General features: G+C 50.0%; 1 long non-coding RNA gene across 3 annotated transcripts, besides 1 other annotated feature; it reads right to left on the bottom strand.

The window, feature by feature from the left end:
* Positions 1-2156: 2156 nt before the first annotated feature.
* On the bottom strand, positions 2157-4802 carry LOC105378351 (uncharacterized). 3 transcript variants are annotated; one of them, XR_946048.4, is made up of 3 exons: positions 4725-4802; positions 3518-3626; positions 2157-2812 (listed from the first exon to the last, which is right to left on the bottom strand). It is a non-coding gene; the product is annotated as an uncharacterized LOC105378351 (long non-coding RNA). The 3 variants fall into 3 exon arrangements; XR_946047.2 differs by having other exon boundaries at positions 2169-3407; positions 4725-4794; XR_001747494.1 differs by having other exon boundaries at positions 2169-3407; positions 3518-3650; positions 4725-4779.
* Positions 4451-5249: an enhancer, noted in NCBI's record as "H3K27ac-H3K4me1 hESC enhancer chr10:72765166-72765964 (GRCh37/hg19 assembly coordinates)". NCBI's record gives its function as "activates a minimal SCP1, AML or CMV promoter by ChIP-STARR-seq in naive H9 embryonic stem cells {active_cell/tissue: H9 hESC(naive)}" and the evidence as "EXISTENCE:reporter gene assay evidence [ECO:0000049][PMID:30033119]".

Below are 19450 nucleotides of genomic sequence, written 5' to 3' on the forward strand. Positions count from 1 at the left end.
TGCAACAGTGGGACAGGCATAGGATAGACATGTCCATTACAAAAAAGAGAAGTAAGAAGAAAGAGGTAACTGGTCCCAAGTAAGTCCAAAACCCAACAGGGAAAACAACATTAAATCTTAAAGCCTGCAAATAATGTCTTAGACTTGTTGTCCTACTTCTGGACAAACTGTGGTAGGGGTTGGCTCACGTGGCTTTGGGTGGCCGTGCTCCCATGGCTGTGCTAAGCACAGCCCACACTGCAGCCCTAATGGGTTGGAATCACATGTATGTGGTTCTCCCAAGGTAGAATTACCTGCTGGTGGCTCTACTGGCCTGTAGTCTAAGGGGCAGCTCTAGCTCTGCCCCTGTGGGTCCACTGGACATCACTCTAGTGGAGGATCTCTGTGGTGGCCCCACCCCTGTGGCAGTTCTTGGGCTGGGACCTGAGGTTCTCCAGGGCATCCCTTGAAATCTAGGTGGAGGTAGCCATGTCCCCACAACTTGTTCACTCTGCACACTCCTGGAGTTGGCACTGTGTTGATGCCACCATGGTTCCTCATCTGTGCCTACCTGATAGTTGGCCCAAGCCACACCTGAGCTCTCTTGAGCCACAGCTGGGTGACCAAGGAGCATTGTACAAGAATTTGGGGAGAAGAGCTTTGAAACCATTCTGCCCCCGATGCCCGGGCATTCTGGTAAAGGGAGTGGCAGTCTTGAAGACTGCCAAAATATTTTGGGGATTATTCATCCATTGTCTTGATGAATAGCATCTGGCCAACCTTCACTTGGCCACACACTGTTGGTGTTATCTCTCAAACACACTTTTACATTCTTTACAACCTGGCCAGGCTAAGAATTTTCCAAATCTTTAAGTTCTGCTTCCCTTTTGACTATAAATTGCATCTTTAATTAATTTATATCTTCTTGTGTTTTTACCACAGTCAAGAGAAGCCATGCCACATCCTCAATAACTTTGTTTAGAGATTTCTTCCACTGAATGTCTTGTTTCATTGCTCAGAAGTTCTAGCTTCCACAAAGCACTAGGACAGGAACACAATACTACCAAATTCTTTGCCATTTTATAACAAGGATCACTTTTCCTCCAGTTTCCAATAACATATTCCTCATTTCTATCTGAGACTTCATCAGAATGGCCATTACCATCCATATTTCTATGAACATTCTATTAATGATCACTTAGCTCCTTTCTAAGAAGACTGGGTAAGTGACAAATAGCTTAGCTGATTGGTCAAGATCACAGAAGGGAGCAAGACTGGATGACTGGATACAAGGAAGGCTGGAGAAAGCCTATGGATGGGCCAATGGGAATGAGCCCAAAGTGTGTGGATCTTTGAGTCTCACATTGTTGAGGGCCTTCAACAATGTGGGCCTTCTACAAGGGCCCTCAACAATCCGGTGAACAGGATGACTGGTTCTATGGAGGAGTTCCTCTTCATGGCCACTCCAGGGAGATTACTAATTTTAGGCATGGGCCCAGGGCTAGCAGCCTACATCTGGAAGAGTCTGGGGACCAGGGAGAATAGAATAGATGCATTTCCTTGAGAGTAGGATGTAGGGGGGTAAACTGAATTCACCCCCAAGGCATCTCTCCCCATCTCACCAATTCCACCCTAGCTGTAAACACAGCCCTAGCGGACTGGTTTGGCCCCTGCTTTAGGGAGAGCTCTTTTCTACCCAACATAAAACTTACTCTTGCCAGCCCAGACTCCCAAAGTCCTGCCATAGTCCAGAAAGCCCTCAGTGATCCTCTCCTTCTTGGCCATGTGCTATTCATTCATTCACTCATTCATTCATTCATTCATGTACACAACAGATACTTATCAAGCTTCCGTGCTCCACACCCTACATAAAGGCTCTGAATATGCAGGAGCGAATGAAAATGGTTGTGACCCTACCCTTGTGGAGATTATTATAGTCTTTGGGGAGAGGTAGACATTAATCAAATGATCACACAAATAAATATAAAATTACCCTTGGGATTAGTGCTAGGAAGAATTCCATGATTCTCTGAGGACAGATACTATGTGGGACTCCCCTAGCTTGGAACGTCAGGGAAGGTTTCCTTGAGGAGGTGATGACTCAGCCACCTTCTGAAGGATGGGTAGGTTGTATTAGTTAGGGTTCTCTAAAGGGACAGTGCTAACAGGATAGATGTATAGATGAAGGGGAGTTTATTACGGAGTATTGACTCACATGATCACAAGGTGAGGTCCTACAATAGGCCATCTGCAAGCTGAGGTGCAAGAAAGCCAGTCCGAATCCCAAAACCCCAAAAGTAGGGAAGCCAACAGTGCAGCCTTCAGTCTGTGGTCGAAGGTCCAAGAGTCCCAAAGCTGAAGAACTTGGAGTCTGATGTTCGCGGGCAGGAAGCATCCAGTACGGGAGAAAGATGTAGGCTGGAAGACTAAACCAGTCTAGAATTTCCACGTTCTTCTACCTGCTTTTATTCTGGCCACTCTGGCAGCTGATTAGATTGTGCCCACCCAGACTGGGGGTGGGTCTGCCTTTCCCAGTCCACTGACTCAAAGGTTAATCTCCTTTGGCAACACCCTCACAGACACACCCAGGAACAATACTTTGCATCCTTCAATCCAGTCAAGTTGACACTCAATAGTAACCATCACAGGGGTACCCAGGTGAAGTGGGGGAGGCAAAGAAAGAGATCTCGGTCCCAGATCTCTGCACCTGGATGCACTCCCTCTTGAAACTGCTTCTCACTGCTTCCAGGCCTGTGTCCTGTGGCCCCCATGCCTCATCAGGAAACTGGGCTCAGAGAAGTTAGCACGTGGGGGGGTCACGATGAGATGGTCCCTGATGGAAAGTAAAATTTCTCTAATGGCAAAGATCATGGAAACAGAGACCCAGCAGCAGAAAACTGAAGGTAATACAGCCTCTTCCCAGAAAGAGGGCCCCCAAGGGACCCTGAGTTACCCACACAAGGGTCGTTTCCACACGGGGAGGCTTCTCCGACATGAGTGGCTCCTTCTGCTATTCTTACAACAGTGGTCCCATCTCTCTCTCTCACTCCGATCGCTCCAGATGGTTCCAAAGGCTTTCCCCGTGGGCCTGACTACTTTACTGGTGCTAGTTAGTGATCTCCCACACTTTCCTGAGGACTGTTTTCTAGGAGCGCCCTTCAGGGAGCTTGGCCTGTGTCCTCCTGTTGGGGAAGCAGGAGCTGTGATTTGCCCCCAAGCCCAGCTGGCTGCGGAGCCCATGGTGCTCCCTTCCAGGTCCCTGCCGCATGCTGTGTGGACAGGCAGCATCTGGGTCCTGGCCATCCCCTGGTCCTGCCTCTGCCACTGTCTTGCTCTGTGACCTGGAGCCAGACCTGCCCCTTTCATGGCCCCATGAGGAGAAAGCCAGTCCTGTTTCTCACTGTTGCCAGGTCTGCGTGTATTTGGGTCTGAAAGACAGACAAGACGAGGGGGACCATGTATCAGGAGTAGGGTAGTTCTCAGCCAGGCAGGCTCCTGCTCTGCCGGCAGCAAGGTGGCCGTCCTGCAGGGAACCTACCTTGGGGAGGGCAGCCTTGCCCCTTCCCCAGCAGCCCCAGATGGAGCACCTGTCACAGCCAGACCAGTGTTCATCCACCTCTCAAAACTCCGGGCTGTCCCCACCTGACCTGGAAAGGGTCAAGATGAGAGACCTGAGAAGAAAGGAGAGGTTTCTCTTTGTGCTCACTCTCCCTAAGGAGAAAAGCTTAAAGCTGGGAGGCAGATGGCGCCTCCTCTCTCCTCTGTGAGCTGAGAGCCCAGATCCTCTGCCCACTGGCTCTGCCTCTACTCACCCATTGGTCTTAGCTGCCCTCTCCCAAGCCCATCCCTGTGTGGCCCCCCTGTTTGGCCAGTCCCAGGAGATCCTAGGGTCCCAGGTGGAGGCTGACTGGCATCCCCACAGCCCTGCCTTTGTGTGCACCTTCATGCCCATCCTGGGCCCGTGGCTGTGGCTGGGGCCTTACCCTCTTGACAGCCCTGTGCTCTCCTGGGCTGTGTCAGCAAGGAGCTGGTGACAGGAAGGATGAGGGAAGCTGATGCTCCCTTAGGGAACCCTCTTGTGTAAATGGGGAAACTGAGGCCCCAGGAGGGGCAGGCGATATGGCAGCAGAGATCAGATGAGGAAATGGAACTGGCCTGGAAGCCCACAGACCTGGGTGTGTACCCAGCCCCATCTCACGCTGACTTCCGCCTTCTGGGTCTCAGCTTTCCTTGTCTCTAGAATGGAGATCACAGTCCCAGACCTGCCTAAAACGCAGTGTGGGTCTGGTTCTGATGAGATCCTGTTTGCATGATCTCTGCCAGCCGTCAAGTGCTGTGCTGACTGAAGCCAGGCACCGGACCTGAAATCTGGGACTCTGGGCTCCCAGAACAGTGCTCCTTCCTCAGCTCTTCAGGCCCTGGCTGAGTTTGAGAGCCTCAGAGATGAGGAATGGGGTGACGAAGGATGAAAAAGTTCATGGGGATGAGCCCTGGATGCTTGACCTCTGTGGGGAAGTTCCCCATATGGTTCCCAGAGTGACAGAGGCCCCAGCAGGCCTAGCCCAGGGCAGAGCCAGGGTGGGTGAGGCTGGAGCAGGCCTCTCCTATGTCCTTGGTGACACTAGAGCCTATCATGGGCTAAAACTCGAGCCAAGCGCCAGAGTGGGACAGATGCACAGGTCCGTCCTCAGCCTCCCAAGCTCCCGCTCACTAAGTAAACACCTGTGCGTGGGCTCGTCGCTCACCTCCCTAATGAGCTCATCGCTCACCCGGCTCTCCATCGCGCTCCATCCGTCTTCACCTTGCTGCCATGGCTCCACTGTGCAGCTATTTTTGCACTTCCCAGTAAGCATTCCACTGGGCGGGGGAGCCAGTGCAGCTAGGCTGGGGCCGAGTTAGGGCTGGGCTTGATTGCTGCCACCCGGAAGTCCACGGCCTGCCTATGGGCACTTCTGGCCACTGTTCCCCACCCCAATAGCAGTACTATGTTGCAAAGGACATTTGGTTTAGCTCAGTGAGCTCCAGTGCCCTCCCTCCGCCACTCAGTAGCTGTGGGACCTTGGGCAAGCCATTTCTCCCTCTGGTTCTCAGTCCACGAAACAAAGGCACAAGTGCTACGCTGCCTGCAGGCAAGCCCTGACTCCCTGGCCTGAGTTCCTGGGCCTCAGTCATCTGTGCTGAACCTCAGGGCTGGACTCAGGCTCTCAGTAAGCCGATGGGGCCGGGGCTGTGGGTGGAGAGAAGAGGAGATTTGGGGCATGCATGTGCATGGGACGGGCAGCCCCCTCCCTGACCCTGCCCCCTGCTCTCTAAAGAAAGACCCCCAGGCAACAAGGGGCCTGATGACCCTGAGCATGCAGATCCCAGCCCTTTGCATGCCCACTGGCTCTGCCTCTACTGACCCATTGGTCTTAGCTGCCTCCAGACACAGCAGAGCACCTCACCTGAGCTCAGGTGGGAAACGCCTGTGAGGGTTGCTTCATTGTCACCCCATCTCCCACGGGCAGAAACAGAGGCTCAGAGAGGCTCACACATGTACCTGAGGCCACACAGCTTGGGCAGGGCCACAGCTGGGACACGACCCTAATGCACCTGACTTCAGAATCTCCCCACCCTGCCTTCTGAGCCTGGCATAGGGCAGAAGGCTGGGCAGGCTGGAGAACTGCAGCCCCTCCTGAAGGAGATACTCAGTGACCCTCCCTCTCCTGTGGCCATTGTTCTCTTGAAAATTAAGTCATCCCGCTGGGCCCCTTAAGCCTTTTTGGAGCTGTCTGTTCCCAAGGCCTCAGCCAGACGGCAGCTGGAAGTCTGTTAATATTCATTGAATCTCTCCAGGGTGGTTGGGAGCCTGTCTTTTAATTGTCTCATCTCTGTCTATCCCTTTATCGAGAAAGAGACTAAGAGGCAAGAACAATCAGTTATCTCATTATAGATCAAGGCCTAGAAAGGGGAACTCCTCAACTAGGGTCCTCCACCCCATGGAGGGAGGGGCTCGGTAGGGGGAGGAAGGGGCTCAGTCCTTCAGCCTCATGCCAAACTCATTCCTATCAGCGTGAAGAAGAGGTTTATCCATAGCATTGGTGGTCCAAATGGTACAGAGCTGGGGAGTGACATAGTTGGGGATAACTGGGGGGACAAAAGGGTGGTCAGAAGACACTAACGTTTGGGCCCCAAATCTCGGGCTTTTCACTGCTCTAGAAAGTGCAGAGAGCATAGAACTGGAATTCAGAGATTATCTTGTTATCTAACCATCCATCCATCTGTCCAACCACCCATTCATCCATCATCCATCTACCCATCCAACCATCCCTCCATCCACACATCCATCCATCTACACATCCATCCATCTGACCAACCATTCATCCACCCATTCATCCAGTGGGCCAGGAAGAAACTGACATTTGTCACGCATATCTTACTTTTCAAAGCAACTTTCTTTCTCTTATCTCATTGGATCTTCCCAGCTGTTTGGCCCCATTTGACAAATGGGAAAAATGGGACCCAGGGAGAAGCAGGGACTTGCTCAAGGACAGACAGAGCAGAGCGGTTTCCAGGATGGAGGCTCAGTATGAAACCTGCAGGTGGGATTGTGCACAAGGCCTAGACTGAAGGGCAAGTGGGGGCTGAAATCCAGTCCTTGCTGTGCCCACCAAGTGGTGGAGAGCTGTGCCTGCTCAGAGAAGAGGAGCCTTTTTCTTTGGCATGCTATCTTGGTAAGGTAGGACCCCAGCCCAGGGCCTGCGTTTTGGGATTCTCAGGGAGAAGCTATGCAGGCTATTGGCAGCCCTGAGCTGATCTTCAGCTCAAAGAGAGCCCCTGGAGAGGAGTAGGCAGGAGACTGGGCCAGGAGGGAGAGACCCCAGGCTCTATGGCACCACGGCTCAGCCAGCCCAGGGATGGCAAAGTGTCTCCCTCCCGCCAGGCCAGCCACCAACCGCATGCCAAGTGGGTTGTCTGCACTGGGTCTTCCAGTTGGTGACTCTTTAGAGTCATATGCTCTCGGGGGAGTACCAGCTATTTGGATTACTCTCTAGTTGGCAATTTTCTTTTTGGTGCTTGTGTTTTGTTTTGACCTGCTGTTAAATCAACTTTATTGAAGTAAAATTTAAATACAACAAAATGCACCCATAAAAATGTACAGTTCTGTGGGGTTTGACAAATGTGTACACTCATGTAACCAGCACCACAGTCAGGATATAGAACATTTCTATTACAGCCCTTTGCAGTCATGCCTCCACCCGATGTGAACCCAGAGAGCAACCTCTGGTCTCCGTCCTGTTACTAGTGACTCTCTAGATTTCTAGGATTTCACAGAAATGAAAGCATACGGTATGTACTCTATCGTGTCTGGGTTCTTTTGCTTCACATCATATTTTTGAGATTGATCCACGTCGTTTCCTGTGTCAGCAGTTTCGTAGCATCCCACTGCATACTGCAATCTATTTCTCCCTTCACCTGCGTGGACATTTGGGTTGTTTCTAGGGTTTGGCGATTTGTGTACAAGTCTTTGTGTAGACATATGTTTTCTTTTCTCTTGGCTAATATCTAGGAGTGGAATTGCTGGGTAAAGGACAGTCCTATGTTTAGACTTATTAGAAGCTGTCGCGCCTTTTCCCAAGTGGTTGGGTCATCTTATGCTGTCACCAGCAATGAGCGAGAGTTCCAGTTGACCCACATCCTCATCAACCTAGTGTATGGGCCATTCTAATGTATGTATATTGAGATTTCGTTGTCGTTTTCATTTGGGAGCCTATTTTGGGGACCCACCCCTTGCCTTGACTGCCCTGACCTCATGACTGTGAGATCTTCTGGGACACGGATTGACTCACCAGTGTCACCTGAGGGCCCACCAGTGTTGGGGAAAAGTGGCCAGAGGCAGAGCTAGGGTGTTTTTGGAAAGAGAGAGGGATCTTTCTGAGCCTCAGTTTCCTCATCTGGCAAATGGGCACCATCCTTGACCTGCCTGGTCCATAGGGCAGGTTTGCATTAAAAATTGAATGAGCTGACAAGTAATGGAATTGCTTTCAGGACATTCAGCACTGGGACTAGTGGGGGCCCATGACAACCCACACCGGCTCCTATTTGCTCTATCTTCAGCCCCAAGAAATGCTTATTGTCATGTCTAGTGTGCAAATGTGGGGACTGGGTCTCAGCCAGGCCAAGTGACACCAGGTCCATGTGGCTCCAAAGCCTGTGCTCGTCACTTCAGTATGAACCACACTGCTGCAAAGTCACCCAGGCTGGGACAGAGCCTGATTGTCGTCACGGTCACAGACGAACATCAGCCAGGATGTGCACACGCCCAGGCTCCTGCCGCTATTCCGGCAGCTCTTCCGGATGCTCCGGTCCCTGGGGCTTGAACACCGCGTCTGTTGCTCCATTATCCTAAGCGGCCTCCCCGGATCCCATTACTTCACTGCTGTTATTATTTATTCATCGATGGAGCCCTCAGCTTGTGGATGGGCACTTACCTTGATGGCCCTGACAAGGGGTCAGGGGCCCCACTCAGAGCCTATTAATCACTAGCCACGCCGGCAGGGAGTTTGTGTCCCCTGAGAGAGGGGAGATCATGTTGCAGACACAGAAGTCCTGTTGGCTTGTCCATTTTCTCATGGAGGAATCCACTGCCTGGTGTTTTAGAGCTAGATGAGCTGCACGGACAGGGAAACTGAGGCTAAGAGAGGGTAGGGCCTTCCCCAAGGTCCCACATCTCATCCATTCGCTATCTGGAATTCTCTCCATACATAAACACACAATGATAACTCCATTTATAGGGGCATCACTTTACAATTTGTGTCTATTTTCCTATTTGATGGTCATAACAACCCCTCGAGACCAATAAGGGCTTTTAATCAGCTAGCTAGCTAGAGCTAGATGATATAGAAACTGAAACTCAGAAATTAAGTGACCTGCTGAATGCCAGGGTGCTGATAAATCACAAAGTGGGGAGCAGGACCCGGGTGTCCCTGCCCCAGTCCAGTGCTCTGGCTTCGGCCAGGAAATGTGGGATGTGGACCCGGGTCCTTCTCGTTCCTGCTGATTCTCTTTGAACAAAAGGAGTCTCTGGTTGGCTGGGATAGAAACTGAGGATGCAACCCAGCTGGAAGGGGGCAGAAAAGGGAAAGTGACTGGGGAGTCCCTGGGTACCAGTTACCTTGCTTTAAAGGCAGCTCACGGTCATGAGAAGAAAACTACCTGCAGAAGCCAGCACCCACTGTGCCCTTCCCATATGCCACAGGCAACTTTACAAGCTCCTGAAAACAACCCCAGGAAGCAGTCGCCATTATTATCAGTCCCATTTTACAGATGAGGTAACTGAGGTTATGACTGGCCCAAATCAGTTCCTAAGAAGTAGAGTTAGGATCCAACACCAGGCAGTCAGAGTCTGGAGCTTGAACCCTTAGCCACCACCCTAGCCTACCAGAGTGAGTTTAGGGGGTTGGCAGGAGAAAGAAGCAGAGGTGCAGTTGCTTGAGCAGACCAAGTCCCCATGGGGCCAGGGATCAGCATCTCTTGGAAGAAGTGGGCCTGAGCAGGACTTCCAGGACCTTCAGAGACACAGTGCAGGCCATGAAACCAGCTCCTACTCTGGAGCCAGAACCAGCATTGTCCTTGCTGTTTCCTTGCTGTGTGAGCTTGGGTGAATCACTTTACCTCTTGGAGCCTCAGGTTCCTTCCCAGACAACTGGGGCCAATAATGGCCACTTCCCGATACCGTGAAGATGAAATGAGACTAAATGCCAGCTTGAGAGCCATGGGAGAGACAGGGAAGGGGGGCTTCCATCTCAGGCCATGGTCCTCACCCAGGGGTCCTTGTCCTCTTTGCCCTCCCAGCTCCTTCAGTGTTGAGGGCCTGGGCCCCGGCTGGGCTCAGTGGCTTCCTGAGGGATAGAACAGGGAGCTGGTGGTGCGTTTGGGTTATTTTTCCTGGAAGGAGTTATTTTCTGCTGATCTAGGTCAGCCCAGCCAGAGGGCAGTGTGAGTTGCTGTATTAGTCCATTTTCACACAGCTGTAAAGAATACCTGAGACTGGGTACTTTATAAAGGAAAAAGGTTTAATTAACTCATAGTCTGCATGACTGGGGAGGCCTCAGGAAACTTGCAATCATGGCAGAAGGCAAAGGGGAAGCAAGGCACGTCTTCTCATGGCCCCAGGAGAGAGAACAGTGAGGGGAAACGCCAAAAACTTTTAAAACATCGGATCTCATGAGCACTCACTCACCATCACAAGAACAGCATGGGGGAAACCGTCCCCATTATCCAATCACCTCCCACAAGGTCCCTCCCTCCACACTTGGGGATTACAGTTCCAGATGAGATTTGGCTGGAGACAAACCATATCAATTGCCTTTCAGTCTAGCTGCAAAAAAGCAGGTGGCCCAACTTGTTGCAGGGTGAAGAACCCAAGAAACCAACCTGGGTTTGCGGCTGGAGAGGGGCTAGCTTAAAACTTTGTATCCTGGCTCCTGGTTGCCCAGAGTGGGGAGGTCTTGATAAGGACCTTGAGATAATGGTCTGGAAGTTGAGAACAGAGCCACTGGGGCTCCTGGCTCCTTGCAGATCCAATCTAAGGGCTGTGGCACCAGGCTGCGTGCTCTGGATGAGTCCCTTCCCCTCTCTGGGCCTTAGACGTGATTGTTGTCATGGTGAGAACTGGGGAGGGTGTGGGAGGATGGAGATGTGCACATAGCAGGTCCTCAGGAACTCAGCTGATGATGAAGCTGCCCCAGCTCGGGGTGAAGGCTGCGGTGCCCTGTTTCCTTGACCTTAGCCATGGGCAGGTGGGCCAGTACCTCAGGTCACTGTCAGGGACTCTGGGAGATCCTGGCCCTGCCTCATCCTGGCACTGAGGCCTGCAGTGATTTCCTCACTCATTCTTACAAAAGATCTCCAGAGGTCTCAGGACTGCACTAGCTCATGGTGACTTTGTTTTTATCTGTCATTGTCTTCTGAGTGATTCCTTTGCCCCATCCTATGTTCCCCCAGTTAGAGTGTGAGCTCCCTGGGTCAAGAGGGGAAACAGAGGCTGGGTGTCCTGTCCCCCAAGTCCCAGTCCCAACCTCTCCCCTCGGCAGCTGTGTGATATGAGTAAGCTGATTAACCTCTCTGAGTCTCAGTTCTAGCCACAAGATGGGGATAAGGCCTGCTTTGCCTTCTTCTCTGGGCTCAAGTACACTAAAGAGAACTGAGACCAACCTTACCTGGAGCCCCTCAGCTGGGCCCAGTTCGGGAAACAGGTGAGCTGGGTGCAGCTCCCGGCCTCAAGGGACTTGCACTTCTTGCCGGGGAAGATGGAGCCACACTCTCGATGGGGGCTGTGGAGAGCCCTGAGGTTGGGGGAGAGTTTTCTAAGTGGGGGTATCAGGGAAGGCTTCCTGGAAGAACCATGGGCAGGACAGGTGGGCAAGGCCATGGTCAGGTGTGTGCAGGGCTATCAGGGATGCAAACCGGAACCGCAGCATACAGAGTGTGCCAGCACTGGGCCTACACAATGTTACCCCAGACCAGCAAGCAGTCCACAATGCAGCCTTGGCTCCACCCTCCTGGAGTGCACAGTGTGGTGGGGGAGACTGACTCTAATCACAAACTCACCAAGCAATGATAAGCTTTACTGGGGATGGGGGTGGCGTGGGGAGAAGGAAAGTGCTGTTTTTAAGGGAACAGCAATTATCTCCTGAATGTTTCCTATGTGCCAGTCACTTTGTGCACATTACCTTGGTTCATCCTGACTCAGGTGGACATTGTCAGTGTCCCACAGGAAACCGAGGACCAGAGAGATAAAGTAACTTGCCCAAGTTTGCACAGCAGGCAGGCAGCAGAGCTGGGCTTGAACCCAGGCCATCTGGCTCCAGAATATCACCTTACTGTAACCACGGAATGACCCTGCCTCCTCATGTGCCCACCACAGTCTGCCCTCTCTGGTATATCTTGTTCTCTCCCTGCCCCCTCTTCTTACCACCAGGATGCTGCAGCAGAACAGAGTTTGTTCTTGAGCAGTGCAGGGCAGAAGCAGCATGTTTGCAGGTGTTGCTGCAGACCTTTGCTAGATGGCACCTCTCCCTCTCCCCAGACTCCAGGAAGAGCCTCAGCGCCTGGCAGGGAGGGGGAGAGGAGAGTGAAAGGACCAGAAAAAGCACTGAGGATTGGTAGGCCCCCAAGGAGGTACGCCTGTCACTGTTTCCCTTCCTCCCCCACCCCCACCCACTTGGGGACTTTCAGGACAGAGAGAATCTGCATCCGCCCCTCCCCTGTTCACCCTACCTGGTGGGGTCCCCCAAGTTTCCCTGTGCCCAGCATCACATGGGAGCAGAAGAAATGGGAGCAGCATGGGTCGTAGCAGGGGACTCAGGTCAGGCTGGTAATGATGCAGTAGGGGCTGTGGGTGCAGAGATGGGACAGGAACAAGGATGTGCACCTGTGCTAGAAGAGCCGGTTCAAGGATGCCAGGGAGCAGCCAACACTGAGGCGTGGGAGGCTCAGCACACGAAATGCCAGGGAAAGCAGGAGGACCCTGAATGGCTTTCGATTACATTCCTGCCTCCTGGCAGAATGGGCACTTATAGTAGAACTTAAGTTCAGTGACACAAAAATACAGCCACTTTTTTCATGCCCTGATTTCAGCAACTCAGAATCACCATGAAGGAGACTTATGGGGCGCCACGAATCTGACCTCAGTGGGGAAGTCAGGGAAGGCTTCCTGTAAGAAATGATGATTGGCCTGAGTTCTGAAGGAAGAGTAGGAAATAAGAGGGTGGAAAGAATATTATAGACAGGAGGAACAGCATGTGCAAAGGCCCTATGGCAGGCAGAGCTTGATGGGAGAAACAATGAGGTACTTCCTCCTGTTGTGTGCAAACTGCCTGCTTAATCCAGCTGGGAGCCAGGACTGCAGCCAGTACATCTGCTGGTAATTAACATGGGGACCCAGGAGAGTGGGGCTCTCAGAACACCCTATCCTTGGTTTTCATCTGCTCAGACTGTGTTTTTGCCAACTCTGGGACTCCTGACACCTCCACAGACTCTGAATATGAGGAGCAGAGGAGGAGCCCTGGGCGACACCCTTATTGTCGGGCTAGAGAAACCAAGGACAGAGAAGACAAGCATTTGCCAAAGCCCACCAAGTCCACGTGGGAACAACCACTGCAGAGCTGAGGCCCTGCCGTGCAGCAACAAGCCTCCTGCCTTCAGAGAAGAAAACAAGTTCTAGCTGTTCCCCAGCCCTACTCAGGCCTGAGAGGTTTCTAGTAGTCACAGTCAGGAGGATACGATGATGGCTGCCCTGGAGATGGGCCAGTCAGAACTCACAGCCACCCACTTGTGCTGGTTATAACCCCACCACTACCATGGTGACCGCTTCAATAGCCAGGAGGGCTGAAAGGAACAGGCAGCCAAGCTGTGTCTGATACTGGCTGCTCCGTCTGAACCCCCACCTATACCTGGACCCCACAGTCCCTCTGAGGTTATGGAGGGACAGTGAAATGCTCAAGGTCACCAGCAGGCTAGTAGCTCAGGAACCCAGGCCACCAGACTGGCTCCACCTGTGCTGGAAGAGCCAGCCCTTCCTTCTCCACCAGGGCCTCTGCTCTCCTGGCCCCAAGGAGCAGGTGGCCTGTTCAAGGAGAGAGGCATAGATGGGGCGACACAAGCATCAGCCCCCTGGGCTTGCCGGGTAATTATGCATTAGGAGCTAATGTTAATAAAGGCTCCAGGAAAGAGGTTTTAATTCCAGATCTCACCACCAGATTATTGCACATGAGGGAAATATCAGAGCCCCAGACTGTCTCCATCCCTCACCCTCCATCTCCAAGCAATCTGCTGCGTTTATTAATTCTGACAGAATTTTCCCAGGCTGGGGAGGAAAGGAGAGCAGGAGGGAAGTATGGTGGGGGTGGGGAGGTAAAGGGAGAGGTGGGGCATGGCAGTTTGGAGCAGACCTTGGGCCTTCTACTCCCTCCTCAACCCTACCCACCTGCACAGCCCCAAGGCATCCCTGGGGCATGCAGCGCACAGCTCTGCCCAGCCCCAGCTCCATGCTGCTGCCTCCAGAAATGGGACCCCTCCAGCAGCTCTTTTACTATCTGTCCTCCTTGATCCTCTCAACTTCCCCCTCTTTCTCATCCCTTCCTCCTCTAAGAATCACAGTCTGACTTTCCTTCCCACCTGAACCCCACCCCAGTGGCTCCAATTCCTTGAGTTACTTACAGTGATGCTGAGATTCACCTTTTAAGAATTTATTCCCAAAATGAACCAAGTAAAAGAAATATCGGAAAAAATCTAAATATCCGTCAAAGACGTTTATTTTCTAAATTATAGTACAACCATGCACTGGAATACTCTATATGTAATGAAATGGAATAATCTAAAGGTATATTGTTGAGAGAAAAAAACATCAAGGTGCGGAACAGCATGTAAAGTGTACTACCTTTTGGTTAGAAATACACACGCACATGCACACGCACACATACACACACACACACACACATTCATGTGTATGCATAGAATATGACCTAATTCATTATAAAGACCTTGTGCAGACAAAAGGAGATGATGTTTATAAAATACTTGGTACAATGTCTGTTACATAGTAAACTCTCACTTAAAGCTTACTGTTGTTATCATTTGACATCTGACTCCTAAGTTGCTTCCCACTCTACCTTGAAGCCTCTCTGGAAAGGACATTTGCATGAACAACACTTGAGAAGAGGATGGGTTATAAATGAGAGGAAGCCAGCATAGGTTTTGGGGGGCAATAGGAGGTCGTATGCTGGTAAAGCCGCACAGGGGCTCTGACTGCATCCCCAGATGGTGCCCACCACGTCAGGGGCCTCGGGAGGCGACAAAGAAACCCAGACCTACAGCTGGAAGTTTCAGGAAGATGGAACTCAGTGTAGAAGAAGCAAGCACCATTACAGCTAATTTCCTGAGGAAGTGGTGATCTCACCATTACATCAGACATCCCAGCAGAGGTGGGCCACCACTTGGTTAGGCAGCCGGAGAGGAAATAGTTATATAGCATGAAGATGCAGCCAATCTCTGTAACATGGTTCTAAAGGTCTGTGATCATGAGTGCAAGCTCTTAAGGTCTTCAGGAATCCCCCAGGGAGCTTGCGGAAATGCAGATCCCCATACCCCCACTTACAGATACTCTATTTGGCTGGGGTGGGACCCAGAAATCAGAATTTGTAAAAAAAAAAAAAAAAAAAAAAACTACAGTAAGGCAATATGGTATTGGCAAAAATATAGACACATAGAGTAATGGAACAGAATAGAGAGTTTAAAAATAGACCCACATAAATATAGCCAATTGATTTCTAACAAAGGTGTAAAGGTGATTCCATTGAGAAGGGATAGTCTTTTCAACAAATGGTGCTGGAACAACTGAACATCCACACGAGAAAAATGAACTTCAACCTAAACCTCATAGCTTATACAAAAATTAACCCAAAGAGATCATAGATCTAATCTAAAATGTTTAGAAAAATAAAACATAGGAGAAAACATAGGTGATCTAGGAATAGCCAAAGAGCTCTTAGGGATGATGCCCAAAGAAACATCTAGAACAGCAAAAGCTGATAACTTGGATGGCATCAGAATTAAAGAGGCACTGTTAAAAGAATTCAAAGACATACTACAGACTGAGAGAAATCACATATAGTACTTGCCAAAGGATCTATATCCAGAATATATTTAAAAAGCTCTAAAAACTCCACAGTAAGAAAATAAACAGACCAACTAAGAAATGGATAAAAGAATTGAACAGATACATCACTAAAAAGGACATGAGCCTGGCTGTATTAGTCAGGGTTCTCTAGAGGGACAGAACTAATGTGTGTATATATATATATGCATTATATATATAATTATATATAATGCATATATATATTCATTATATATTATATATTAGGTGAATATATATATATGTGTATATATTCACAATCACAAAGTCCCACAATAGGCCATCTGCAGGCCGAGGAGCAAGGAGAGCCAGTACAAGTTCCGAAACTGAAGAACTTGGAGTCCGATGATGGAGGGCAGGAAGCATCCAGCATGGGATAAAGATGTAGGCTAGCAGGCTAAGCCAGTCTCTCTTTTCACATTTTTCTGCCTGCTTCTATTGTAGCCATTCTGGCAGCTGATTAGGTCATGCCCACCCATATTAAGGGTGGGACTGCCTTTCCCAGCCCACTGACTCAAATGTTAATCTCCTTTGGCAACACCCTCACAGATACACCCAGGATTAATACTTTGTATCCTTCAATCCAATCAAGTTGACACTCAGTATTAACCATCACAAGTCCACCGTTTGTCAATTTGAACCCATACGTATCTCCTGAGATCATACATAATCTTCTAAGAAAGACAATAATGAGGTCTTAATTACGCCTAACATAATACAACTATCCTTTGTACAACTGGAAACACACCAATCTCCAACCCAAATACCATTACATAAAGTGAATGATACTAAATGCTGATGCTAAGTCAACAAATCCTATGTCACATGATAAAGGAGAAAGGTGATAAAATGAAGATATTTTCTTAGTACAAGTGTATACATGCACAAACATGTTTTTAACAAAAGAAGGACAATTACAGTCCCCGTTTCTGCAACTGGTCACTTGGTTGTGGCTGTTATTGATGACTACCTTCTTCTACTACCCATTCTGTATTCCCTTTGCCTTTAGCAAGCATCTCAGCAGGTCTTGGTTTTTTTCCTGGTGGAGTGACACAAACCTTCATTTCTGAAGAGTCTGGGTCTTTTGTAGTCCTGCCTGGATTGGGATGTTGTAGTTTCCTTTCGACCTTAATCACAGGGCATGGTAATACTAAGAGACACCCTAATGGATCTCCTGTATTCCATGCATACTCTTCCCTACCTCCGTTGTGGAGTAATAGACTGATTTCTACTTGATAGTCTGGATCAGTCACCCCAGCCAACACTGTAACTCCCTTCTCAGCCTGTTGACTTAAAGGTAGGAGGATCCCAAACTGTCCAGGTGGCAACCTTAACTTCCAGTTTAATGGAATCGTTGTTGTGTCTCCTGGTGGGAATGTTCCTCCCTCTGGAACTAAGACCTCCAGGCCAGCAGAACATAATGTCATGGGAAGAGGAAGGGAACATTTTGCTAGTGGATAACTAGGGGTGATGCTGAGTGGTGCCACTTCCACTTCCACTCCTTGATTCCTGGACCCATGAATCCTGGCTATGGGAGAAAGAGTACCATATATTGGACGCTGATTCAGAGCATACATGGCCTTCTGGAGAACTTTGCTCCAGCCCTGCAAAGTACTGTCACCTAGTTGGTATTGTAATTGTGACTTCAAAAGGACACTCCACCTTTCCATCAATCCAGGTGCTTCGGGATGATGGGGAACATGGTAAGACCAGTGAATTCCATGAGCATGAGCGAGCTGCTGAACTTCTTTAGCTGTAAAGCAAGTGCCTTGGTCAGAGGCAATGCTGTGTGGAATATCATGATGGTGGATAAGGCATTCCGTGAGTCTACGGATGGTAGTCTTGGCAGAAGCATTGTGTGCAGGATAGGAAAACCCATATCCGGAGTAAGTGTCTATTCCAGTGAGGACAAACCTCTGCCCCTTTCATAATGGAAGAGGTCCAATATAATCAACCTGCCACCAGGTAGCTGGCTGATCACCCCTAGGAATGGTGCCATATAGAGGGTTCAGTGTTGGTCTCTGCTGCTGGCAAATTGGGCGCTTAGCAGTGGCTGTAGCCAGGTCAGCTTTGCTGAGTGGAAGTCTATGTTGCTGAGCCCATGCATAACCTCCATCCCTGTTACCACGGCCCTTTGCTCATGGGCCCATTGGGCGATGACAGGGGTGGCTAGGGAAAGAGGCTGAGTGGTGTCCACAGAATGGGTCATCCTATCCACTTGATTATTAAACATTTCTCTACTGAGGTCACCCATTGGTGAGCACTCACATGGGATACAAATATCTTCACACTTTTTGACCACTCAGAGATGTCCATCCACATACCTCTTCCCAAAATTTCTTTGTCACCAATTTTCCAATCATGCTTCTTCCAAGTCCCTAACCTTCCAGCCAAATCATTGACTACAGCCCATGAATCAGTACATAATTGCATATCTGGCCGTTTCTCTTTCCATGCAAAGCGCACAGCCAGGTGCACTGCTCGAAGTTCTGCCCGCTAGGAAGATTTTTCTTCACAACTGTCCTTCAGGGATGTCCTGGAAAGGGGCTGTAGTGCTGCAGCTGTCCACTTTCAGGTGGTGCCTGCATATCATGCAGATCCACCTGTGAACCAGGCCCTAGTCTTCTCTTCCTCTGTCAACTGATCATAGGGAACTCCCCATGAGGCTATCAGTGCAGGCTGGGGGAGAGAAGGCAGGGTGGCATGAGTGGAGACCATGGCCACTTGAGCCACTTCTTCATGTAACTTACTTGTGCCTCAGGACCTGCTAGAGTCCAGTAATGTATATACCACTTCCATTTGATGATGGAATGCTACTGTGCATGACCCACTTTATGGCTAGATGGGTCAGAAAGCACCCAGTTCATGATAGGCAGTTCAGGTTGCATGGTGACTTGATGACCCATAGTCAAACGTTCAGTTTCCACCAAAGCCCAGTAACAGGCCAAGGGCTGTCTCTCAAAAGGAGAATAGTTATCTGCAGAAGATGGCAGGGCCTTGCTCCAAAATCCTAGAGGCCTCCGCTGTGATTCACCTAGGGGGGCCTGCCAAAGGCTACAAACAGCATCCCTATCTGCCACACCTCAAGCACCACTGAATTTGTTGGGTCTTATGGCCCACGTGGCAGAGCAGCTTACATAGCAGCCTGTACCTGTTGCAGAGCCTTCTCCTGTTCTGGACCTCCCTCAAAACTGGCAGCCTTTCGGGTCACTTGATAAATGGGCTAGGGGAACACACCCAGTGAGGAATGTGTTGCCTCCAAAATCCAAATAGGCCCAGTAGGCATTGTGCCTCTTTCTTGGTTGTAGGAGGGGCCAAGTGTAGCAACTTATTCTTTACCTTAGAAGGAATATCTTGACAGGCTCCACACCACTGGACCCCTAGAAATTTTACTTAGGTAGAAGTTCCCTGAATTTTAGTCAGATTTATTTCCCATCCTCTGACACACAAATTTCTCACCAATAAGTCCAATGTGTTTGCTACTTCTTGCTGATTGGATCCAATCAGCATAATGTCATCAGTGTAATGGTTCAGTGTGATATCTTTCAGAAGTGAAAAGAGATCAAGGTCTCTCCAAACAAGATTATGACACAAAGCTGGAGAGTTGATATACCCCTGAGGTAGGACAGTGAAGGTATATTGCTGGCCTTGCCAGCTGAAGACAAATTGCTTCTGGTGGGCCTTATGGGCAGAAATGGAGAAAAAGGCATTTGCCAAGTCAATGGCTGCATACCAGGAGATGTGTTATATTTTCTGAGGCAATGAAACCACATCTGGTACAGCAGCTGCAATTGG

Source organism: Homo sapiens, chromosome 10, assembly GCF_000001405.40.
Source record: "Homo sapiens chromosome 10, GRCh38.p14 Primary Assembly".
NCBI lineage: Eukaryota > Metazoa > Chordata > Mammalia > Primates > Hominidae > Homo > Homo sapiens.